Here is a 27,244-nt window from a genome sequence, read left to right as displayed (position 1 = left end):
AAAGAAGTGATTTAAAACTTAAATGGCAGAATTAACATTCAAACCCAGTCAATGTGGCACATGGACAAATGCCCTTCACTGCTACAGTACTTTGCATCTTGTTTGACTCCAAAGATCATATTCCATCCAATTAAGTATGATATTCCAAAATGATTTTCTTGATTTAGTTGACAATAAGGGTACTTTAATATGCAAAATCTCAGTAACATCTGGCCTAAAAGATTTGGTGAGGATAGAATGTTCTTAATGTGAATGCTTTTCAATAGAAGCTGAAAGAATTTGGCACCATGATCAATACGATTTAATTTGGCACACTATGTCACCAATGACTATTCATAGGGAACTTTTTCTGTGTTTGAGTTTGTTCTCTTTACGCATGGCTCAGACAGCAGCATCATTTATCTAGTGAGAGCCTCCTCAAATAGACAATTTCTAAAAATTAATAAATGATTTGGAATTTGTTACAATGATTTGATGAATAATTTACACTACAACTATGTCACATGACAGAATTATAACATATTCAGCATAACTTTTTTAAAGGATAAAAGAGAATTTCTTTCAGGCTGTTATATATACACTTTCACATTAATATTTTACTATGCTGATTGTTAAATATTTTGAATATCACTTCATTTTTTTTTCTAAGACAGGGTCTTGCTCTGTCGCCGAGGCTGACGTGCAGTAGAGCAATCACGACTCACTGCAGCCTATACTTCCTGGGCTCAAGGGATCCTCCCTGGTCAGCCTTCCGAGTAGCTGGGTCTACAGGTGCATGCCAGCACACCCAGCTAACTTTTTGCATTTTTTGTAGAGATGGAGTTTCACCATGTTGCCTAGGCTGGTCTCAAACTCATAGACCCAAGGGCCTCTGAAAGTGCAGGGACTACAGGTGCTAGCCACTTCACCCAGCCCACTTCACCTTTCACTAGCATTTGACACTCCTTCCTCCTTAAAACACGTATCCATTTGGCTTTTATGCAACATACTCTTGTTTTCTTTCTTGGTCACCATTGCAAATTCTCAGTTTCCTTTGCTAATTATTCCACATCTCCCCGATCTCCAAATCTTAGTGTGTTCAAGGCTCAGTCTTATGACCTCTTCTCTTACCTCTTTTGTCTTCCTTGGTCTTCTTATCCAGTATCATGGCTTTAAATATCCTGGATACTCGTAAATGTGTACCTCCAAGCTTGCCTCTTTCTTGTACACCATACTAGTATATCCAATTGGTTACTAGACATCTCTACTTGGGTATCTAAAAGGCATCTTAAATTTAATATATCTAAAACTCTGAAACTGCCAGACTCCCACAGTCGTTCCTGTCTTGGTCAATGGCAGCTCTGTCCCTCTAGTTGTTCTAGCCCCAAACCTCAGTCATTCTTGATTCACATCTCATGCCCAATCAGTGAGTCTCCTAGGATCTATTTTCAGAATAGATCCTGAACCTGACTGCCCTTTAGCACCTCCTCTTTTATCACCCTGGACCATGCTATCATCATTTCTCACATGGACTATTTATATTTGCTCAATGATCTCCCTGATTCCACCCTTGCTCTCCTACTCTCTGTTGTTGATAGTGATAAAGGAATCACTAAGTAGTGATTACTTTTAAATATAAGGCAATTTAGGTGGCTTTTCAATTTAAAATCCTCCAATGGCTTCCATCTAACTCAAAATGAAAACCAAATCATTGTAGTGACCTGCAGACCGCTGCATGAACTGACAGTGCACTGCCTCTAACTCATCTCCCGGAAGCCTCTTCCTCCTTCATTTGGCTTCAGCCATACTGGCTTCCTTTCTGTTCCTTGTATGTGACAAACACACTCCTGTCTCAGGGGCTTCATATTTGTTCTATCTGCCCAGGAAGTTCTTCCCTGAAATATCCACATGGTTCTTTTCCTTACTTCCCTCAGTGCTTCCTTCAAATGTTATTGTTCTTGTAACAAATTAACACAAACGTAGCATCTTAAAACAGCACAAATTTATTATCTCACAGTTCTGTAGGCCAGAAGTCTAGAGGTCAAAATGTCAGCAGGGCTATTGCCTTGTCTTTTCCATATTCTAGAGGCTGCCCATATTTCTTGGCTCCAGGCCCCATTCTCCATCTTCAAAGCCATCATCATGGCATCTTCAAATCTCTTTCTTTCTCCGCTTTCATCATCACGTTGCCTTCTCTGACTCTAACCCCCCTGCCATTTTGTAAAGACCCTCATGATTACATAGGGCCTGCCTGGATAATTTAGGATGATCTCCCCACCTCATGATCAAGTGACCAAGATTTGGTCACTGATTCAAAGTCCCTTTTGCCAAGTAAGGTCACATATTTGCAGGTTCCAGGGATTAGGATATGGACATTTTGGGGGGTCATTATTCAGCTTGCCACAATGACTGTTGTAGCAGGCTTTCCCGACTGAAATATTTAAGCTTTTAAATCTCATCCCTCCACCAGAAAGCCCTAACCTCCTTTTCTGCTTTAATTTTCCCTAATGGCACTTAGCAGCTAAAAATTTGTCTGTCCAGCCCATTAAAAATGAGGGTAGGTAGGTTTTGTCACTTTTGTTTACTGATATATCACTGAACTAATATATCTGTGTATAGATATATTCAGTGTCTAAAGGAATACTAGGACACATTAGGAACTCACTAAATGTCTGTTGAATTAGTGTAAAATACATCTCATAAATAATAACATGGTGGAATGAGACTCACCACTGGAATCAACCAACGAATGGTGTATTGTAGAAGTAGTACAACCGTTTGCCAATATTTTGTTCTCTCCTTTTTGGCACATAGAAGCTGCACGTTCTGCTCCTTTGCAGTTGGCTGGGACCACATAGCTAATTCTGGCCATTGAAATGTGACCATAAGTAATGTATATCAAGTTTGATATGAGGCAATAAAAAGCCCATGCATGCTTCTTCGGTCTCTATCCCCTGCTGAAGCAACTAGGGAGTGGTCATTTCAGATAGTATAGATACAGAATGGCAGGACCTTTGACAGCCTGAGTCCCTGAGTGACTATGCAAAACAGGACCTTCACTCCACACCCCCCACCCCCACAACAAGAGTAGGACATAAAATGCCATCAAGAAATCAAATTTTGTTGTATTAAGGCACTGAAACGTTGAATCATTTGCTATCAAAACATAATTAGTCTACTCTGATTAATACAGGCTTCCATACCGAAAGTTGGGAGTCTGTGTAAAAAGCAACCAAATATGTGGCACTGACTTCACAGTTAGATGGCCATTGGCAAGACAACTAATATCAGAGGCTACAAAGGTTGTGATTCATGTTATATTGTAACCAAATATTTAGTAAAACTGTCACCTATGTAACTTGGGAAGTAGATCATATTTAAGTGAAGCTGGCACTCAAGGGGAAAACATAATGTTGGAGTGTTTGTTTAGTGATGTTTGTCATGTTTGGCTAGATACTATAAGAAATAAGCCAAGGGAAGAATTTCCCAGTTTGAAAGCAGAAATGAAAGGAAATGGGGAAATTTAAGAATTAGAACTTTGCAGGATTGAAAAGCCAATTGCTTCTGGACACCATATAGTAAAACTTAAGAGTCAAAAAGCAATTTCAGGATAGATGCCAATAAAATCTTTCAACAAATTATATTACCTAAAGGCAAGGATCAAATCAAGGATATATTGCTCAGTAAATCTTTTTCAATTGTATAAAACTACTCATGGCAGATATTAAGGGTAAAACTTGTCCGCAGACATGTGACAGCCTGGAGCAAGAGAACTGGGGGAGCAAAAATGGAAAGAAACATACCAGATATGATAAATTTGTCTCAAAGAAACTGTGAGATCTTTCACTTCTCTTTCCTTCCCTTATTGAAGAGTTTGATTCTAACACCTTTAGGTAGGCAGAGCAAGACGGACCTCTGTACCTGATGCGGAGGTGGAGGGAGCCTCAGTAGTGCAGTGGAGGGCATTGAACTGAGCTGAGTTAAGAGAGCACCTGTCTAGGAGGGCCACTTGGGTCTGAGCCTGGGTGGGTGAGAAGAATGTCCTCTTGGAGGAGGGCAGGGAGCATCTTGGCGAATGTTCAAAGCCTGAGGAAGGAGAGAAGAGAGTCTACATGGAGGGTGGCCAGGCATGGGTATCAGAGGACATTCATGTGGAAGACACAGATGGGGTGGGTGGGGAATCAGGCACAGGGTGGCAAAGCTTGAGCAGGGTGAAGAAGACATCCACGTGGAAGGAGGTTTACGGTGAGTTTCAAAGCCTGAGAAGAGTGGAAAGGGCATTCCCACAGAGGTGACGGCCAGTGTGAGTGTTAGACACAAAGAGGGTGTTCACATGAAGAAGGGATGGTAGCAATGAATGGTTGGTCATGTACTGGGGATTGATGAAATAAGGATAATGAGAGATAGTTTTGTCATTGTCAGAGAAAGGCATTACAAAAATGAAAAGGGAGAATACCAGAATGAGCCCTGTGGTGCATCCTTGTGAACTTTTGGAGATTATATAGGTACAGTTGGCCCTCCTTTTCTGTGGGCTTCACATCAGCAGGTGGATATGGGAGGCCAACTGTACAAATTTTCCATCCAAAATTGCTTGAATCTGCAGGTGTGGAACCTGCAGATAGAGTGCTGACCCCATTTTATATAAGGGATTTGAACATCTGTGGATTTTGGTATGTGTGATGGGTCCTGGAATCAGTTCCCTGCTGATACAGAGGGCTGACTGTATACATTATATACATATACATAAATGTATGTGTGTGTATGTATATATGCATAATGGATTAGATATACATGAATGAATTTAGATGTAAATATATATGCATACATACATATATTCCCTAACTCTCCCCTGATAGAGCCTAGGAACAATAACACAAATAGCAATGCACATACCAGGTGCCTAGATCATGGCTTCTAAATACGTATGCTTTACTAAAAGGAACCAGGACTCTTTGGAGAAATGGTAGATTCCAGTGCTGAGGCAACAAAATTACAAGATGAATTTGGAATGTCTTGTCCTAGAAAACAAGGAATAGCTCAAAGAATGATAAAGGTATGTCAAACGGACATAGAAGCCTATCTGAAGAGGCACTCACTGGTCAGATCTAGCACAATTTCATTATCAAAATAAACAATGATGGCAACTAATTATAATCCATTGAATAAAATGGAAACCATATGTATTCCTGACACAAATTAATCAATAAATAAATTGAAAGTTTGATAATGGATATATATGTAGTTCCAAAGTAACTTCCCACAGCACTTTAATTAAATACAAATGGAAAAAGAATGACTTTGTTGTGGAGAAGCATGGCAGATACCATCTCATTCAAGTAACCAAAGTGAAAAAATTGGAATCTGTGTCATCTAATGGCATGTGACAAGAAGAACACAGGATCGCTTATGTGATATTCCTGCCAAAATGTACAACTTGAATCTAATAAAGGGGAAACATGAAACAAATGCAAATTGAAAAACACAGTAAAAAGTAACTGGTCTGTAGTCTTCAAAAGTGTCAAGCTAATGAAAATCAAGAAAAGACTGAGAATTGGGCCAGAGTGAGGGACTCTGGGAAGACAAGACAGTGAAAAGCAACTCATGATTCCAAATTGAATTCTTTTGCTGTAAACAACACTTTTGAGACATCTGGCAAAATTTGAGTGTGTCTGAAGATTAAATGATAGTGATGCATCAATGTTAATTTCTTGATGTTGCAGGTTGTGTCTTGGTTTATAGGAGAAAGTCCTTATTAGTAGGAACTGCATGTACTAGGGGACAAAGGAGCAACACATAGGCAATTTACTCCCAAACATCTCAGGAAAAATAAACTGCTTTGTACCATACCTGCAAATTTTCTGTAAGGTTAAAATTGTTTCAAAACAAAATATTAATAAAAAAGAAAGAAAATGAAAAAACATTTGTAAGTATGGCACGTAAAGATGAGTGGATCAAAAAGAAAGATGCTTAGTGAAATAAGCCAGGCACAGAAAGACAAACACCAGATGACTTCACTCATATGTGGCATCTAATAAAGGTGATCTCACGAAAGTGGAGAGTAGAATGATGGCCACCAAGGGCTGGGGAGAATTGGGGCACTGTTGGTCAAAGGCCACAAAATTCAGCTAAATAGGAGGAATACAGTCAAGCAATCCATTGTACAGCCTGACAACTGTACTTGATAATATATCATATTCTTGAAAAATGCTAAGAGAGTGGCTATAAATTTTTTCGCACCACAAAAATGATGAGTATGTGAGGTGATATGGTTTGGCGCTGTGTCCTCACCCAACTCTCATCTCAAATTGTAATTCCCATGTGTTGAGGGAAGGACCTGGTGGCAGGTGATTGGTTTCTCCGCATGGTTCTCATAATAGTGAATGAGTTTTCATGGGATCTGATGGTTTTAAAGTGCTTGGCAGTTCCCCCCTTGCCCTCTCTCTCTCCTGCCACTGTGTAAGATGTGTCTTGCTTCCCCTTCACCTTTAGCTATGATTATAAGTTTCCTGAGGCTTCCCCAGCCATGCAGACCTGTGAGTCAATTAAACCTCTTTTCTTTATAAATTACATACCCTCAGATCATTCTTTATAGCAATATAAAACTGGACTAATACATGAGGTAATGCATATGTGAGTTATGTAATCAAGTGACATGTATCACTTCTGTGTAGGCAGTGAAAAGTCCAAATACTCTTCTCCAATATCTGTTTCCCTGCTGTGGTGATTGAAGAAGTCATGTATTCCGGGTTGCTATAGCTATGAGATGGCAGGTTCTCTATCGGCCTGGGTCCTGAGTGTTACCAGGGAGTCAGACACCTAATTGAACATAAAAATTAAGTAAGCAGATTTAAAAACCCCTTTTTAAAATTGAGCCACTAAGTTTGTGGTTGTTCATTACAGTAGTATAATCTATCCTATAGAGACACTCAATTCAAAGAAAGGAATCTGGATAGAGGGAAGGTAGAAGACATGAGTATCTGATTAGAGATCAAAGAAGAGGTCTAAGAGTGACATTTTGTGACACACTACTACAAATTAGCCAAAGAGATAGGGGACATGGATTTCTGCTGTCAATAACACACTAACATGGCAACAAGACACAGAAATTTTTGCTTTCTTTAGGCTTAGGGCCATGTAAAAGGAAGGTGTTCTTTGTGGGGTTTTTTTTTTTTTTTTGGTTTTGGCTTGTTTGTTTGTTTGTTTGTTTTTGAGAGGGAGTCTTACTCTATTGCCCAGGCTGGAGTGCAGTGGCTCTATCTTGGCTCGCTGCAACCTCCACATTCCGGGTTCAAGCGATTCTCCTGCCTCAAGTTCCCAAGGATCTGGGACTACAGGCGCGGGCCAGGAAGCCCAGCTAATTGTTTGTATTTTTAGTAGAGACAGGGTTTCACCGTGTTAGCCAGGATGGTCTCGATCTCCTGACCTCATGATCCGCCCACCTCAGCCTCCCAAAGTGTTGGGATTACAGGCATGAGCCACCATGCCCAGCCCAGGTGTTCCCTTTTGATTCCTGGTCCCTTAAATGCTTGAATTCTTAGCTCCTGAAGTAGATCTCCTACTAATTCTTGGTTCTTTGAATTTATGTTTTCTCACGCACCTCTGGTTTTGTAACAATCCTTGAATGATTTATCTCTCTGGATTTGACATACTGGGTTTCTTGTAATACTTGACTTCTACGAGGTGTTTTAAAAGTTGTTGTTTTGTTTTGTCTTCAGTGTATATGATATCCTTGACAGAAATCCTGGCTCAGCTGACAGAAATAAAGATAGTACCATGATACCCATTACCATAACTAGTTACCCTGCATAGTAGGGATGCCCCTTGATGAGGGTCAACACCTCATTACCGAGAGTACAACATGACTGCGAAAAATTATGAGACAGTTTGTACCAGAAGTTCACCAAAGATAGATTCTGGTCAAACATCAACTGCCCAAGTCTTAAAGTCAACATTCAACTAAAGCCAAGCCAAAGCTAAAAATAACCATCATAAAAGGAAGTTCTGAAACATAAAATATACTATTTTATTTACAGATATATAAAATTTATATTTATACAAAATGTATTATGTTATCATAATATATTTAAATATGAGTATTACAATTTTATCACTAAACCTTTATAACTAAGATTGTAAACTTATTAAAATGCAGGCATAATACATGTTTAGCAGGGTCAGCTAGCTGTTCCATCGTCCCTACACAGTACATTTGTAACATTATATAACATTAAAATTGGTAAAAGAATAAAAAATTTGGAGACACCTAATTTTTCTCTTATTTTCTTCTTCTACTCTAGTATACTTTTTCATATCTAGTTTTTCTACCTTATTTTTGAGTTTTCGCTTCTCATGGAATTTAAAGTCACAGTTGACATTCTGAATTCATACTTACGAGATGTAAAAAAATTCCCCAAAGAAATTTTTCTTGAAAGAAACATAGCTTACCTGGAATTACATTTAATATAAAATTTAAATATTGCTCTTGCTATGGTTTGAATATAGTTTGTTTGGCTCTGTCAAGACTCATGTTGAAATCTGATCCCCAGTATTGGAGGTGGGCCTGGCAGGAGGTGTTTGGATCATGAGGCCAGATTCTTCATTAATGGCTTGATACATTTTTGCAGCAGTGAATAAGTTCTCACTCTCAGTTCCTGTAAGAACTGTTTGTTGAAAAATAACCTGGCATCTCCTCTGCTTTCTTGCTTTTCAATCTGGCCATGTGATCTGCATAAGCAAGCTCCCTTTTGCCTTCCACCCTGAGTGGAAGGAGTCTGAAACCCTCCCCCAAAATAGACGCTGGTGCCATGCTTCTTGTACAGCCTGCAGAACTGTGACCCAAATAAACCTCATTTCTTTATAAATTACCCAGCCTCAGGTATTCCTTTATAGCAACACAAACAAACTAAGACAGATCTTAAAGCTTATTTTCTCTAATATACATCAAACAATTTTACAAATATTAGAACTATGGCATAATAATGTTTTTATTATTCTTGTTTGCATTTTTTAAATTCTCATGAATATTTATTTGCTGAGAAAGAATAACTTCCTGAAGTTATCCAACTAACACAGTTTCTGTTAATGTTTTGTATTAACTGCTAATGTATATTCTTATTTATTAACTATTTTTAAATTCTTAATTATTTTATACACAAAATGAACAGCTTTCATAGTAATTGTTCTGTTTTATAATTGTAATGATAAACATGCCTTCGTACTTATAATATTGTGAGATTTGTTTTTCTTTCTTTTTTTCTGAGACAGGATCTCACTTTGTCACCCAAGCTGGAGTGCAGTGGTGCAAACACTGCAGCCTCAACCTCCTGGGCTCAAGAGATCTTCCCACCTTAGGCACCTGAGTAGCAAGGATTACAGGTGCATGCCACTATGCCTGGCTAATTTTTGTATTTTTTGTAGAGCCTGGATTTCACCATGCTTCCCAGGCTGGTCTCAAACTCCTGAACTCAAGTAACTCAACCCGCCGCAGCCTCCCAAAGTGCTGGAATGAAAGGCATAAGCCACCACGCCCAGCCAAGAATTTTCATATATAAAATACATAAAGAGATTTTGTACTCTAAGTAACATCCAGAATGCTCACTTATTTTTTAAAAGTATCAACAATAAATGTCATGTTTGTATTCCTTATGTTGTTAAACTGGTAAGATATTATAGTAAACCATAGGATGATGTTGTTATTGACTACAAGTTCAAAGGTGTCAGAGGTTATGTTTAAGGATGTATCTACGCCACTCTGACCTTCAAAGGCTAAGATTGAAATATTCACATCTGAGTAACAGACGTTTTGGCCAAATTCTCAGGGTGAAGCCACATTTTGGTGTATCTCTAATTTGCACAAAAGACACTTTGAAGAAAAAGTCTCTGATACCTGGAATTGAGAAGAAAGTGAATACCAAAGACCACATTCACACCAGGAACAATTTAATAAGGAAAGACATCCTACTCTCTTGAGTAAATCAGCTCGTGTATATGGGATTGAGCTGGGTTAACAAAGGACCCCAAGAGCAATGAGAGAGCAGAATCCATAGACACAAAGAAAGAATAGAGAAACACACCTTTTCCTAGCTTTGGTAAAAAATATACATATATATGCATATATAAATATACACTTATATATACATATATGTGTAAATATACATATATGTGTGTATATATACACATGTACACATATATATACTTATATATACACACATATGTATATATACACATATATCTATATATATACACACACATACACACACACACATATACATAATATATATATGCTCACTAAAGAAAGTTTATTTAAAACTTTTAACCATAAAACAGAATAGAAAGGAGTGGAAAATAGATAAGGCGGCAAAGGACTGGAATCTCTTCCCACTTCCGCTATTTATTGACTGTTCCACCTTAACCAAGACACACAATCCATATAAGCCTGAGTTTTCCCATCTATAAAAAGTAGGCAATAGCATCTACATTATTAAACTCAAAAAGTACATGCAAGTTTTGTAAATTCTAAAGCTGTACATAAAATAGATTTTAAGCATTTTCCTCAAGTAAATTTATTTTAAAAACCTATTCTATTCTGACCATTTCCTTACCTCACCAGTTTGCTTGATACTGCTTTGCTCATGCTTATGTGTCATATTATATAAAAAGCAATATTAATAAGTACTATCATAATTTCCATTTTATATTTAAATAAACTGAGACACAGAGCTAAGATTACATGCAACATAACATGCATAATTTACTGAGAACTTACAAAGCTGAATCTAGGCCTTGGTGCACAATTACTTTGCTAAGTTAATGTCTCTGGTGCAAAAACATCAATCCTTGCCTGATAATTCCCTGAACTCAATGTTGAATCTTTTCATTCTATTAATATAAGTTGCCAAGATTTAAAAAAAACAGTTTGGTTAAATAGTAGAAAATGAAGCCTGTTGCCTAAAATATTTTTGTTTAAGTTGCTTGAATATTTATTGCAAAACCAGGGCTACTCCTAAGACAAAACAGTTAATCCATTTGCATGCCTCAAAAGGTGCCAAAACTCAGTCTTAACAGCCCCAAATAAAAGCAGCAAAAGGTGCCAAAACTCAGTCTTAACAGCCCCAAATAAAATCAGCCACATTGGGTTCAAAGTGAGCTGACTTACTTGACTCAACAAAAGAAGCCTGTTGGAATTGGTCAAACCCATATAAACATCAGAGATAACACTCACTACCCCAGAGCTATGCTTGGGACCAACTGGGATGGTTACATTCAAGAATTCACTGCAGAGTGACATTAGCAAGATGGCAGAATAAGAGCTTTCTACCATCATCCCCCTACAGAAACATCCACTTTGACCAATACCCACAAACAAAAATACCATCATGGAAGTATGAGAGTCCAGTAAAGAAGTTCTAGTACAGTGTTAGGGCAAAAAAAAAAAAAAAATCCAAGAATAAACACATTGAAGAAAGTAAGAACAATTTCACTTTACCTGTGTCACCCCTCTCCAAGGAAGCATAGTTCAGTGCCAAAAAGAGACCCCGTTAGGTCTCCCAAGTTGGAAAGTGAGAGGGGCATGAGTGAGCACTCAGCTTTCCCAGCCATGTGGGATGCCTCCCAAGAGGCCCACTTCTTTCTCATTTCACCCAACATACTGATGTGATCTGTGTAGCTGAGTGGTTGGGAGAAGATGGGAGCAACGAAGAAAGGCCACAGACCTTGCTAACCATTCCATGGACTCCATCAGGAAGCCTATCTGTGAGCTGCTTGGGCCCAGGCTTTATCCGCAGAACAACAACAACTAGCCCAGGAGCACTCCAAATGCACTGAGTCCCTCCCCAAATGCTGACTTCCTGCACAACCTCATGGACAACAAGTGCTGTGGAACTGACAGAAGGTATACAAACTTCAACGTTTCAGAGTGCCATCCTAGAGAAAACAAATGAGAGGCTTTCATCACCCAGCCTGGCTTTGCAGGATTGAGAGAAGGCATACAATCTTAGAATTCCCACCAAGAGGGAACAAGAGGTATGAAGTGGGCATGTCCACAGAAAAAATCTGAGAAAGTCTCAAAATCCCTAGTTGGGCTGATTGGCAAAGGTCTTTCTTTTCCAAAGCCAGTCAGTAAAGACTGTAGGAGGTGACTGCTTCTGCAAAAGTGAAGACAGCAACACTGGACTTCAGGGTACACAAAAATTCAAGAAAACAGGACATCATCAATGGAACCCCAAAATATTCTAGTAAGTGACCCCAAAGAAATTATGATCAATTGCCTAACAAAGATGAAAAATATTGTTTTAAGACATCTCAGTGAACTACAAGAGAACACAGACAACTCAACAAATTTAGAAACACAACACATGAGCAAAACAAGAAGTTTGATAGACTTAGAAATCATAGAAAGAACCAAATAGAAATTCTGGAGCTGAAGAATATAATGAATGAAATAGAAAAATGCAATAGAGGGAGTCAATGGTAGACTTGGTCAAGCAAAAGAAAGAATCTGTGAATTTGAAGACAAATCATTTGAAATGGTCCAGTTACAGGAGGAAAAAACAAAAAGGAGTGAAGAAAGTCTATGGGATTTATAGGACACCACCAAGAGAGCTCACATTAGCATTACAGTGCTCTCAGCAAAAGAAGAGAAAAAGGAGAAGAAAGCTAATTTAAAGTAGTAATGGCTGAAAACTCCACAAATCTGGAGAGGATATGGACATACAGGTATATGAAGCTTGAAGTCTTCAAATAGTTTCAACCCAAAGAAGACTTCACAAGGACACATTGTAATCAAACTGTCAAAAATCAAAGACAGAGTATTTTGAAAGCAAGAGAAGAGAAGCTCATCAAATACATGGGAATTCCCCATAACCATATCAGCAGATACATCAGCAGGAACCATGCAAGCCAGGAGACAGTAGGATGACATATTTAAAGTGTTGAAAGAAAAAATAGAAACCTGCCAACCCATAATACTGTACTCAGAAAATCTGTCCTACAGAAATGAGGAAGAGATAAAGACTTTCCCAGACAAAGGAAAGCTGAAGAAGTTCATTTCTTCTTCAAGAAATGAAGGAATAAACAAGGAACAGATATATTTATATGAGACAAAATAGACTTTAAGTTAAAAACTATCACAAGAGACAATGTCATTATTTGATGATTAAGGAGTCATCCATCAAAAGGATATTATAATTCTACATACATATGCACCCAGTAACAGAAAGGCTAAATACATCAAGCAAATATTATCAGCTCTGAAGGGAGAAATAGACAGCAATATAATTATAGAAGTGGACTTCAATACCTTACTTTTGACAATGGATAGCTCATCAAGACAGAAAATTGATAAGGAAATAGCACACTTCAACTACTCTTTAGACCAAATGGACCTAACAGGATATGCAAAACATTTGATTCAACAGCAGCAGAATGCATATTCTTTTTAATCACACATGGAAAAATGGAAACCCTTATACATTGTTAGTGGGAATGTAAATTGGTATAGTCATTTTTTTTAAAAAAAGCATAGAGAGTGCTCAAAAAATTAAAACTAGAGACACAATATGACCCAACAATCCCACTTCTGGGTATATATACAAAGGAAATGAAAACAGTATGTCGAAGAACTTGCACTTGCATGTCGAAGAACATGCACTTGCCTGTTCATCATATTATTATTCATAATAACCAAGATACAGAAACAACCTACGTGTCTGCCAATGGAAAGCTATATAAAGAAAATGTGATACACACACTATAGGCTCCACTTACTCCCTCTTATTCACAGCTTTACTTTCCGGGGTTTCAGTTACCCCTAGTCATCCATGGTCTAAAAATAGATGAGTAAAGTACAATAAGATATTTATATAGAGAGAGAGAAAGACCACATATACCTAACTTTAATTACAGTCTATTGTTATAATTGTTCTATTTTATTCTTAGTTATTGCTCTCGATTTCTTACACGGTCTAATTTATATATTAAACTTTATCATAGGCAATTATGTACAGGAAAAAAACATAGTATATATATAGTGTTTGGTACTATCTGTGGTTTCTGACATCCACTGGGGATCTTGGAACACATCCCCATGGATAAAAGAGGACTACTGTATATATAATGGAATATTATTCAGCCTTAACAAAAGAAGAAATCCTGCCATTTTTGACAACGTGAATGAATCTGAAGAACATCAGGCTAAGTGAAATAATCCAGCCACAAAGAGACAAATACTGAATGATCTCACTCATATATGAAATCTTAAATAACAGAATATAACAGAAATAGAGAGTAGAAGAGTGGTTACCTACCAGTGATCAAGGAGCAGAGGAAATAGGGAGATGCTGGTCAAAGGGTACAAACTTCCAGTTATGCAATGAGTCACTTCTGGAGACCTAATGTACAGGATGGTGATTACAGTTAATAATAATGTTATTAAATACTAAATTTGCTAACAGAGTAAATCTTAAGTATTCTCACCACACACACATACACACAAAATTAGCTTGATTGGGATAATCATTTCACAATGTGTACATATATTAAAACATCACATTGTATACCTTAAATATATACAAATTTTATTAGTCAGTTTTACTGAAGAAGGAGGGAGGGAGGGAGGAAGGTAGGAAGAAAAGAACGAGGGAAGAAGGGAAGGAGCGAGGGAGGGAGGGAGGAAGGGAAGGAGTGAGTGAGGGAGGGAGGGAGGGAGGGAGAGAGGAAGGGGGGAAGGAAGGAAGGAAGGAAGGAAGGAAGGAAGGAAGGAAGGAAGGAAGGAAGGAAGGAAAATAATGGCAATAAGTAGTAAAAATAATTAATAAATTATAATATGAACTGCTCAGCACAAGCTAATTAAGAGGTTGCAACCACCATTGGTAAATGGTCTTCCTGTGGCACCTGAGAAGCTATTCAGTGCCATCTGCTGGTGTGGTGCATCACTGCAGGCTGAGAGCTTGCTTTGCACCTTTATGAAACACTTTAAACTTGCCTGCTTAAATTATCTTGGAATTATAGAGTTGTTATTGTTTCTAAGTCATTTGTCTTCTACTTTCATTTTCTTGTTACTGCATTGTCATTCTTGTGTCAGTAGTAAGTTGTAATGTCTTAATGTTTAGAAATTCAGGAATTTTTAATAAAATAGTAAAGCACAACTTGAATGAAGACAGCAAAAAATAACAATCATAAAATATTCCACTCCATAATGGGCATGTGTAGGGACTATCCCAAATATGAAAAAAAAACATCCTGAAGGCTTCTTCTAATATAAGCATAAGGTGGGGGGCATGAGGTGCTGGGAGGCTGGCCTAAGACTCTGATCTTTTTATGACAACATCAGGTGGTATGCACAGTGATGTTAACGTAACCATCACTGACATGGAGGAATGGGTACATTCATTATAGTTGAAGGTTGAAGTCTCACTTAGACTCATTCTCAGGAGTTAGAGACTTTTACTTTCCCTTTACTCCTCGAACATGGCTGGAGCAAACAGTCTGGGATCACAGAAAGGAAAGCTCCAGGCCTGAGTTTCACATAATTGGCCTAAAGAGGAAAAACACCAAGCCTTGGCCCAGGCATATCCCAATTGCTTTAGGTCCCAAGGAAAGAATGGACAAGAATTATGGCATTAAGGGAGCCAAAGAGAGTGGAGAGCAATTTGATGACAACTCCAGAAACTTGCCAATCTACCCATAAAGGCTCATAGTGGTAGGACTCTGGTGGCTGAGTCTATGTAGTTCTGAGATTTAGTATAGGAAATCACTTGGATAACATACTTAAACCATGTCCTACAATTCAGTTTTCATTTGTAATAAGAAAAATACACAAAGATTTACTCTCTATTTCCCCCATCTACAACTTGGAGCAATATAAAGTGAGCTAGTTAGGCATGTCTGCCCAGCAGAGCCAAGCTTTCCCATGGTCTAAATTCAGGGGCACTGAGAAGTGGGGAGCCATGTTCTCCAGTCTCATTGGTTTGTTTTTGAGACAGAGTCTCACTCTGTGGCCCAAGCTGAAGTGCAGTGGCACGATCTCGGCTCACCGCAGCCTCCGCCCCCCGGGCTCAAGCGATTCTCATGCCTCAGCCTCCTGAGTAGCCGGGAATACAGGCCAGCACCACCACGCCCGGCAAATTTTTTTTTTATTTTTTAGTAGAGACAGGGTTTCACCATGTTGCCCAGGGTGGTATCAAACTCCTAAGCTCAGGTGATCTGCCCGCCTTGGCCTCCCAAAGTGCTGGGATTACAGGTGTGAGCCACTGCGCCCAGCCTCTCCAATCTAACTTATGTCAGCAAAAGAGCCAGTCTTTTGATCCTCAACCTTCTGACTATTTTGTTTCTCTCAGTTGGTTTAGATTCAAGAGGAGAACCCCTCAAACCCTAGACTTGTGTCCCAGTTCACTGCTCAATGGATGTCTGTGACCATGAGTCAGTGATTCAAACCAAGTCTCTGTTTTCTCATCCACAAAATGAGGATAATAGCACAAACTACCTCTAGAATTGTTTGGCAGGAAGACATGTTATAGCCTAAGGAACGTTCTTGCTGAGTGACTGGCACACTGTAAGTACTCAAGAAGTGTTGCTTATTATATTTATAAATAAATATTTTAAATTCATTTTTATACTTTATTGTTATAATTTTAATCTTTGCTGCAAAAATGTATTGCTGTTTCTTTTTTAAACCCATTCTTTCAGCACTGACATCCGCTAATGCCCCAAACCCATCTCTACCCCAATCTCTGTGGAAAGGGATTTGAGGCATTAGCTCATATTGGTGAAGATGGGTTTGGGTATTAGCAGATGTCAGTAGAAATGGGATTGGGGTATTACTGATATCAGTAGAGATGAGTTAGGGGCATTAGCTGATATCAGTGCTGAAAGAACTGGTTTAAAAGGAAAACACAGCACTAAAATTCTAGAGCAAAGATCGAAATTGGACTATTGTCAGAACATAGAAAATAAGAGAAATCCAATTGTATAAAGGAAGAAACAAGTTTTACAACGTGTGTGTGTGTGTTCTAGGAGGGAGTGCAAGAGTCAGGTAAATCAATACCTTGCAAATTGCTAGCACTCAGAGGTTGGCAGGTTATCACTTCCAGAGAGAGAGGAGAGAATAAGCAGGCTTTAGAAGTATGCTTTCCAGGAACACCACAAACAGGCACTGTTGCGGGAAGTCAGGGACCCCAAATGGAGGGACCGGCTGAAGCCATGGCACAAGAATGTGGATTGTGAAGATTTCATGGACATTTATTAGTTCCCCAAATTAATACTTTTATAATTTCTTATGCCTGTCTTTACTGCAATCTCTAAACATAAATTGTGAAGATTTCATGGACACTTATCACTTCCCCAATCAATACCCTTGTGATTTCCTATGCCTGTCTTTACTTTAGTCTCTTAATCCTGTCATCTTGTAAGCTGAGGAGGATGTATGTCACCTCAGGACCCTGTGATGATTACATTAACTGCACAAATTGTAGAGCATGCGTGTTTGAACAATATGAAATCTGGGCACCTTGAAAAAAGAACAGGATAACAGCAATGTTCAGGGAACAAGAGAGATAACCTTAAACTCTGACTGCCAGTGAGCCAGGTGGAACAGAGCCATATTTCTCTTCTTTCAAAAGCAAATGGGAGAAATATCGCTCAATTCTTTTTCTCAGCAAGGAACATCCCTGAGAAAGAGAATGAACCCCTGAGGGTGGGCCTCTGAAATGGCTTCCTTGGGTGTGGCCATCTTCTATGATCGAGCCTGTAGGGATGAAATAAGCCCCAGTCTCCCATAGTGCTCCCAGGCTTGTTAGGACAAGGAAATTCCCACCTAATAAATTTTGGTCAGACCAGTTGCTCTCAAACCCTGTCTCCTGATAAGATGTTATCAATTACAATGGTGTCAAAAACTTCATTAGCAATTTTAATTTCGCCCTGGTCCTGTGGTCCTGTGATCTCGCCCTGCCTCCATTTGCCTTGTGATATTCTATTACCTTGTGAAGTATGTGATCTCTCTGACCCACACCCTATTCATACACTCCCTCCCCTTGCTGGTTTTATGGCTCAGGGGGCATCATGGAACCTACTGACATGTGATGTCTCCCCCGGACACCCAGCTTTAAAATTTCTCTCTTTTGTACTCTGTCCCTTTATTTCTCAAACCGGCGGACGCTTAGGGAAAATAGAAAAGAACCTATGTGAAATATCGGGGGTGAATTTTGCCTGATATCTGGCTGAATTTCTCCTGATAAGGCACAGATGGTGCCCATGTAGGAACACTAGGCTACAGATCTAGTAGATAGAGACAGATATTTGTAACAAAGACCTGTTGGATAGGGTGCTATGGCTACTTTCCTACTATATATGACCACCCCAAATATTTCCTGCAAGGTTAAGCTAGAAGTTTTTTACATGATGTTGAGGAAAAGCAGTTAGCACATATGAATGATGACAATGATTATAATATCTGACGATACCACCTAATATTTATTGATTCCTATGTACTAAGCTAAACAACATACATACCTTATCTTGTTTTATCTTCATAACAATCTTATGACATGGAAATAATTTTAACCCCCCCATTTTGCAAATGAGACAACTATACTCAGAGAGGTTAAGTGATTTGCCCACATTCTCATAGCTAGTGATTTCTAGATTTGAGATCTAAACCTGGTTTATTTGAGAGGGAGAAAAATTCTTAGATAAGATATAAGAAATTATTCTGTAAAAATACAGTGGCAGAAGGAAACCACTAATAAAAAGTGGATTTTGAAAGGTCCCAACAACAGAGAAAAAAGAGAGAAAGCATTGTACTCAGATTTATAGATTGATTTGAAGCTCTTTTGTAGATTATTTTGAATATGCTGAGAAAAGAAAGCTATTCCCTGCTTTTAGAAATGCTAAGAAAAATTGCAAACACCACAGGAATAAGAGATGTGTAATGGTTATTATTATTATTATTATTATTTGAGACAGAGTCTTGCTCTGTTGCCCAGGCTAGAGTGCAGTGGTGCAATCTCAGCTCACTGCAAGCTCCGCCTCCCAGGTTCACGCCATTCTCCTGCTTCGGCCTCCCGAGTAGCCTGGACTACAGGCACCCACCACCATGCCCGGCTAATTTTTTTGTATTTTTTAGTGGAGACAGGGTTTCACCATGTTAGTCAGGATGGTTTTGATCTCCTGACCTTGTGATCCGCCCGCCTCGGCCTCCCAAAGTGCTGGGATTACAGGCGTGAGCCACTGCGCCCTGCCGTGCAATGGTTATTAATATCTCCCTAGTATATTCACAGAAATGGCCATGGAGTCACCTAGGAACATGTACTTACTTTTCCTTGAGCATGTAGCTAAGAGAAGCTGGAGAGTCTACCAAGATTACCAAACCTGCTAATTCACAACAGTACAAATAACATATCCAGGAGATATATAATTATGAAACTAAGTAAATTAGAAGTCATGCTAATTTTCATTACTTTCTGTTGATAGCCATAGCTTTCAAGATAAATGGTGTATAATAAAGTAAATTATTAGCCATACACCTGGTGTTGGCAAAAAGTCTTGGTTCTCTGAACCATGACCAACAGCAGTACAATGAATACTTTCAAATGGATTACAAAGAAAAGTAAACCAATATTATAAAAAGCACTGTGCTCACACACTGTAGAGAAAATAAGAATAATAATCTTTACCCTAAAAGTTGCTCATTACACACAAAAAATGTATTTGTAAAATATATTTTCTAAGACATATAGCAAATAGCAGAGCTTTTAAATTATAAGAATTTACTATGCCAAATTTATATCAGATTAAAGTATCTAAATAAAAGGAATGGATTTTTTTTAGCAAAATACAACTGATCAAAGTTACCAAGATATAGAAAACCTAGAAAGACCATATTTATGGAAGAAATGCTATCAGTAGTCAAAATTTACACCTAATTGAAGCCCAGAGGATTTTTTAAAAGATAAGTTCTATTGAAACTTAAAATAATAATTCTGGTGCTATTTAAACTATTCCAAACACTTTTTTAAGAGTTGAAGAATGAACTGAATACAAATTCCTGCTGCCATTTACTGATTCAACTCCTTAGAAAAGACATTGTTTGAAGGAATAAATTCATAAAAGACCTGTAACACAAAAAGGTACACCAGTGATCATGAAGGAGTCCATGAAAGAAAATATACACATGGGACTGGGTTAACAGAAGAAACTATTGTCTAAAGCATGTGAGAGGACTCTTAGGAAAGGTGCCATGGCTCTGGAGGTAATTCAAGTTAAAGGTAAGGATGTAGGGGGTTAGAAAGACCCCTGGCAAAACATCTAGGTGAGTGGTTAAAGAAATATATTTTAATTGCCCACATGGGTTGACCCCATAAGATGATCACACCCCATTTTCATTTGTATCAAGAAGCAGCCAGCAGAACATCAAACTTCAGGCTAAAATTATGAACACAAGTATTGGGGCAAGAAAGGAAGGGCAATGTATTAGATAACTTACGGCACCCAAGAAGAAGGAGGAAACCCATACCCTCCAAAATAGGTATACCTCCTTGAAGTATATTTATGGTTTCAGTACCCCAAATCACCTGAAGCAGGATTGCTTCCCCAAAGAAAACCACATCCACTAAAAACAGAATAGGGAGGGTCTTACATAAAAATGAATGCACAAGCAAGAAACACCCAATATTAGGCCGGGCACGGTGGCTCACGCCTGTAATCCCAGCACTTTGGGAGGCCAAGGCGGGCAGATCACGAGGTCAGGAGATCGAGACCATCCTGGCTAACACGGTGAAACCCCGTCTGTACTAAAAATACAAAAAATTAGCCGGGCGTGTTGGTGGGCGCCTGTAGTCCCAGCTACTCAGGAGGCTGAGACAGAATGGCGTGAATCCGGGAGGCGGAGCTTGCAGTAAGCCGAGATTGCGCCACTGCATTCCAGCCTGGGTGACAGAGCGAGACTCCGTCAAAACAAACAAACAAACAAACAAAAAACCCAATATTTTGGAAATTCATTACAAAAAAAGACACTGAATTCAACAAACAGAATACTAAAAAACTAGTTAAAAGAGCAAACTGAACAATTAATTAAAATAAATCAAAGTAATAGCCTCAGAGTGTTATAATGGAATATCATGTGAATTAAATAAGAACAGGTTAAAAATGAAGAACTAAGAAAGTAGGTTATGCAACTACTATAAAGACCCAATTGATGGGCCAGATAGCCCATCAATTTGAATCACTAAATTAATCTGAAGACCTAGCTGAGGACTTCTCTCAGAATGCAGTGCAAAGGTACAATTAGAGAGTATGAAAGGAGAATTAACAGAAAGGGAATATTAATGCAGGTATTTTGAAATCCATTCAATAGGAGAAAACAGAGAGAATTTTTAAGAAAAATTTAAAGGAAATAGATAATTTAAAAAAAAATTGTTTAAAGTCCAAGGACTGAACAATGACAAGTCTTTTCAGATTGAATAGGCATAGTGAACACTGATCAAGATAAATAAAGATACCATGCCTAGGTACCTAAAAGTAAAATTGTCAAAAACCAGTGTCACAGGTTGGGTTTCCAAGGCAGCAAATTCAGAATCTGAGATGTGCAAGTAGGAGGTTTTCTGGAGATTGCTCTCAGGGACACTTGTGAGAAAGCAAAGGAAGCAGGACTAAGCAGAGGGAGAAGTTGAACAGAAATGCAGTTGCAAAAGTGGCCTCAGCAGATCTCACAGGGAGCTCTGAAGGTAATAGGAGGTCCTTCAGAAATACAATTACATTTTAACAAAATTATTGGAAAGACAAAAACTATAATGTCAGAGAGCAGATTATTTGTTGCAAGGGAGGGAACTGACTACAATGGAGATAAGGGAACATTTTAGGGATTATGGGAATTGTCCTATATTAGAATTATATACATTTGTCAAAATGCATTTAATAATATACATTAATTTAATAAATTTTATTGTATGTAAATTGCACCTAAAGTTTATTCTAAAAAGAAAATGAGTTATGAAAAATTAAAATGTAAGAACATTGGAGGATCAATCTAGGAGACTCATTATCCAATTAACAGGCATTTCAGAAGAACACAGAAATCCCAAGACGAGAGTTACACAGTTGGTTTAGAGTAGGTTAGCAGATTACACCAAGATTCACATGCAGTTGTGGATAAATATACAAAGATCCTGTGTGTTCTTTACCCAGTTTCCCCCAATGGTAACATAATACGAAAGTATACTACACTTTTACAACTAGAATGTTAACATTGACATAATCCACCAATCTTAGTTTTATTTGTACTTACTTATGTGTATATGTGTGTACATGTGTATTTAGTTCTATAAAATTGTATTATATGCACTGATTTATGTATCCACCACCACAATCACTTATCTGTTTTCCATTTTAATAATTTTGTCATCTCATGAATGTTACATCAATTAAACAATACAGTATGTAAACTTTTAAGAGAGGCTTTTTAAAAATCAACATCATCCTCTTGCGATTTATTCAAGTCCTGTGTATCAGCAGCTTGTTCCTTTTTATTGCTGAGTACTGTTCCATAGTATGGATGTACCATGAACTGTTTAACCCTTCATCCACTTAAGAACATCTACATTATTTCCAGTTTGGGTTATTATCAATAAAGCTGCATGAAAACTTTCATGTACAGGTGTTTGTATAAACATAAGTTTTCATTTTTCTGAGATAATTGCCCAAGCATACAGTCTCTGGTTCATATGGTTAACTGCATGTTTTGTCTTCTAAGAAACTGCCAAACTGTTTTCCAGAACATACATTTTTATATTTCCATTAGCAATGTATAAGTAACCCAGTTTCTTTACATCCTCACCAGCATTTGTATTATTTCTATTTTTTTAATTTTAAATATTCCGATAGGTATGTTGGACAGAATTTAAAACAAAAACCTTATGTTCATCTCAATAGATGCAGAAAAAGCTTTTGATAAAATCCAACATGCCTTCATGATAAAAGCACTCATCAAACTAGGAATTGAAGAAACATACCTCAAAATAATAACAGCCATCTATGACAAACCCACAGCCAACAACATACTAAACAGGCAAAAGCTGAGGGAAGCATTCTTCCTAAGAACTGGAACAAGACAAGTATGCCCACTCTCACCACTCCTATCAACATGATACTGGAAGTCCTAGCCAGAGCAACCAGGCAAGAGAAATAAATAAAAGTTATCCAAATAGGAAAATAGGAAGTCAACCTCTCTTTGCTGATGACATAATTCTATACCTAGAAATCCCTAGAGACTCTGCCAGAAGGCTCTTGGAACTAATAAACAACTTCAGTAAAGTTTCAGGATACAAAATCAATGTAGAAAAATCAGTAACATTTCTATACACCAATAACATTCAAGCTGAGAGCCAAATCAAGAATGCAATTCTATTTATAGTAGCCACAAAAAAATGAAATACCTAGGAATACATCTAACAAAGGAAGTGAAAGACCTCTACAAGAAGAACTACAAAACACTAATGAAAGAAATCATAGATGACACAAATAGAAAAACAGTCCATGCTCATGGATTGGAAGAATCAATATTGTTAAAATGGCCATACTGCCCAAAGCAGTCTACAGATTCAATGCTATTCCTATTAAAGTACCAACATCATTTTTCACAGAATTAGAAAAATACTATTCTAAATTTTGTATGTAACCAAGAAAGAGCCCAAGTAGCCAAAGCGATCCTAAAGAAAAAGAACACAACCGGAGCATCACATTACCCGACTTCCAACTATCATATAAGCTACAGTAACCAAAACAACATGGTACTGGTACAAAAATGAACACATAGGCCAATAGAATAAAATAGAGAACCCAGAAATAAAGGCATACTCCTACAGTCATCTGATCTTTGACAAATTCAACAAAAAAAGGAACAGGAAAAAGACTCCCTATTTAATAAATGGTGCTGGGATAACTGGCTAGCCATATGCAGAAGAATGAAGCTGGACCCATACCTTTCACCATACACAAGAATTAAATCAACATGGGTTAAGGATTTAAATGTAAGACCTCAAACTGTAAGAATCCTAGAAGAAAACCTAAGAAGCACCATTCTGGATATTGGCCTTGGGAAAGAATTTTTGACTAAGTCTCAAAAGCAATTACAACAAAAATAAAAATCAACAAGTGGGACCTAATTAAACTAAATAGCTTCTGCACAGCAAAAGAAACTGTCAACAGAGTATACAGATAACCTACAGAATGGTAGAAAATATTTTGCACTATAATCTAACAAAGGCCCAATATCGAGAATCTGTAGGAAACGTAAACAATTTAACAAGCAAATACATATAAAACCTCATTAAAAGTCGGCAAAAAACATGAACATGCACTTCTGTAAAGAAGACATACACATGGCCAACGAATGTGAAAAAATGCCCAACATCACTAATAATCAAGGAAATACAAATCAAAACCACAGTGAGATGTTATCTCACACCAGAGTGACTATTATTAAAAAGTCAAAAAGCAACCGATGCTGGCAAGGCTGTAGAGAAAAGGGAATGTTTATACACTGTTGGTGGGATTGTAAATTAGTTTAGCCACTGTGGAAAGCAGTTTGTAGATTTCTCAAAGAACTTAAAACAGAACTACCATTTGACCCAGCAATGCCATTACTGGGTATATATCTGAAAGAAAATGAATTATTCTACCAAAGAGACACATGCACTTGTAAGTTCATCACAGTACTATTCACAATAGCAAAGACATGGAATCAACCTATCAATGAGAGATTGGACAAAGAAAATGTGGTACATATACACTATGGAATACTATGCAACCATAAAAAAGAATGAAATCATGTCTTTTGCAGCAACATGAATGCAGCTGGAGGCCATTACGCTAAGCAACTGAACGCAGGAACAGAAAACCAAATACCACATGTTCTCACTTATAAGTGGGAGCTAAACCTTGGGTACTCATGGACATAAAAATGGCAACAATAGTGGGGACTACTAGAATAGGGAGGAAGGGAGGGGGTAAGGGTTGAAAAACTATTGGGTACCATGCTCAATCTGGGTGATGGGATAAATCATATCCCAAACCTGAGCATCACTCAGTATACCCATGTAACAAATCTGTACATATACCCCCTGAATCTAAAATAAAAATGGAAAATATTTAAAAATTATAAAAATTAAAAAATAAATTAGTTGGGCATATTTGTGTAAACCTGTTTCTGGGTTCTTTATTGTATCTCATTGATCTATATGTGTCTCTTTCCAACTGTCTTTCTCAATTTGCTGGCTTTTGTAAGTAAAGTTTTATTGGAATATAACCAGCCTATTTATTTACATATTGTCCATGTCTGTTTTTATATACAAAGGCAGAGTTGAGTAGTTGAGACAGAGACTGTATGTCCCATAAAGCCTAAAGTATGTAATATCTTGTCCTTTACAGAATATCCATTGGCCTCTGGTTTAAAGAACAATTGCTCCACATAGAAGCAGGAAGACATAGGGTTTTAGGAAGGAAATCTCCAGAAAGAAAATGGACTAACAGTTTAACTGATGTGTTTTGTCATATTAAGAAGAGTTTCATGGTTAGAAGAATTTGTGCAAGTACATAAAAAATTAAGCAAACAACAAAAGTTAATTATTAACACCAACAAAAATGGTATTAGGAATGAAAAATAATCATAGTATACCATGTGATTCATCTGTGAGGAACATTTATATGATCCTAGTGTGGAAGGCAGAATGATGCTCCTCTTCCTCCAAAGATGTCTATGCCCTAATCCCCAGATCTGTAAATATGCTACCCTTTGTAGCAAAGGGGATTTGCAGATATAACTAAGAACCTTGAAATGAGAAACTATTCTTGATTCTCCAATTGAGGCTAACGTAATTTCAAGGGCTCTTCTAAGAGAGAGGGGTAGAAGGCTTATAGTGAGAGATGTGCAATTAAAACAGAAGCCAAATAATCAAAGAGAGATTTGAGGACGTTACATTGCTGATTTTGAACATGGAGGACGGGGCCACAGCCAAGGAATACAGAAGACTTTTAGAAGGCAAAGAAAACAGATTCTCCCGTACAGTCTCCAGAAGGAATCAGCCTTGCTAACACCTTGACTTTATCCTTATGGACTAATTTTTACTTTCGACCTAAAACTATAAAATAATAAATTTGTGTTAACTGAGCCATTAATTTGTGGTAATTTGTTAATGTAAAACCCTATAATTGACCAAAATTGTGATCTTCCAAATGGAAGAGAAGGGGAAAGATATGTGTGTGTGTGTGTGTGTGTGTGTGTGTGTGTGTGTGTGTGTTGTGTACACATGGGTGGGGGACAGGGTAAGAGAAATAATTATTTATCTTCCTAAATAGTAAGCCAGTAAATAATTTCTGAAATAGAAATATCAAAACAGCTAATAAGTATATCTAAAAGCAAAACTTGAGTAAGGAGAGGAAGGATGTAGGGGATTGCCAATTTTTAATATAAGTTGTGTATTATAAGTTGTGTCAGATTAACATGCCATTAATCTGTTCCTATATTGTTTTCATTAAAAATATAAAATAAAAGTAACTTCAAAGGTTATTGTTGTAGACTGAATATTTGTGTTGCCCTCATCTTCATTTCTTGAAGTCCTAATCCGCAATGTGGTGATATTAGGAAGTGAGGCTTTTCAGACATGATCAGGTCATGAGGACAGAGCCCTCATGAATGGAATTAATGCTCTTTTTATATAAATGAACCCCAGAGAGTTCTGCTTTTTCTTACTCCTGAAGATATGAGAGGTCAGCCACCTGTAATGCAGAAGAGGGCTTCACCAAAACCTGACCATGCTGACACCCTGATCTCAGACTTCTAGCCACTGAAGCAGAGACAGATAAATTTCTGTTGTTTATAAGCCCCCCAGTATATAGTGTTTTGTTACAGCAGTCCAAATTAAGACAAAAATTGGTACCAAGAAGTGAAGGTGTTGCTGTAACAAACACCCAAAAATGTGGAAGTGGCTTTGGAACTGAGTACTGAGTGGAAGCTGAAAGAGTTTTTAGGTATATGCTAGAAAAAGCCTAGATTATCATGAATGGCCATTTGAAGGCAATTCTGGTGAGATCTCAGAAAGAAAGAGAAAGCTTCTGTCTTCTTAGACAATACGATGACCAGAATATTGGTAGAAATATGGATGGTAAAGGTCATTCTGATTATGTCTCACATGGAAATGAGGAACATGTTATTGGAAACTAGAGAAAAGGCAATCCTTGTTATAAAGTGGCAAAGAACTTGGATAAACCGTGTTTGAGT

The 27,244-nt window shown here is 37.8% G+C and overlaps 1 protein-coding gene across 3 annotated transcripts in view; it reads right to left on the bottom strand.

Moving 5' to 3' along the window:
* The window catches only part of NXPE2 (neurexophilin and PC-esterase domain family member 2), a 349,427-nt gene that overhangs the window by 59,664 nt on the left and 262,519 nt on the right, over nt 1–27,244 (bottom strand). Inside the window, exon 6 of one of the 3 annotated variants that reach the window (XR_001747769.2) lies at nt 14,283–14,366. The exons of the other annotated variants lie outside the window; for them this stretch is intronic. The gene's annotated coding sequence lies outside the window, so the exon portion shown is untranslated. The remainder of the gene's footprint in view (nt 1–14,282; nt 14,367–27,244) is intronic. 3 annotated transcript variants of the gene reach the window in all.

The sequence above is a fragment of the Homo sapiens genome, chromosome 11, assembly GCF_000001405.40.
Source record: "Homo sapiens chromosome 11, GRCh38.p14 Primary Assembly".
NCBI classification, from domain to species: domain Eukaryota; kingdom Metazoa; phylum Chordata; class Mammalia; order Primates; family Hominidae; genus Homo; species Homo sapiens.
The sequence above is the reverse complement of the archived record's forward strand: the minus strand, read 5'-3'. Positions and strand labels throughout refer to the sequence as shown.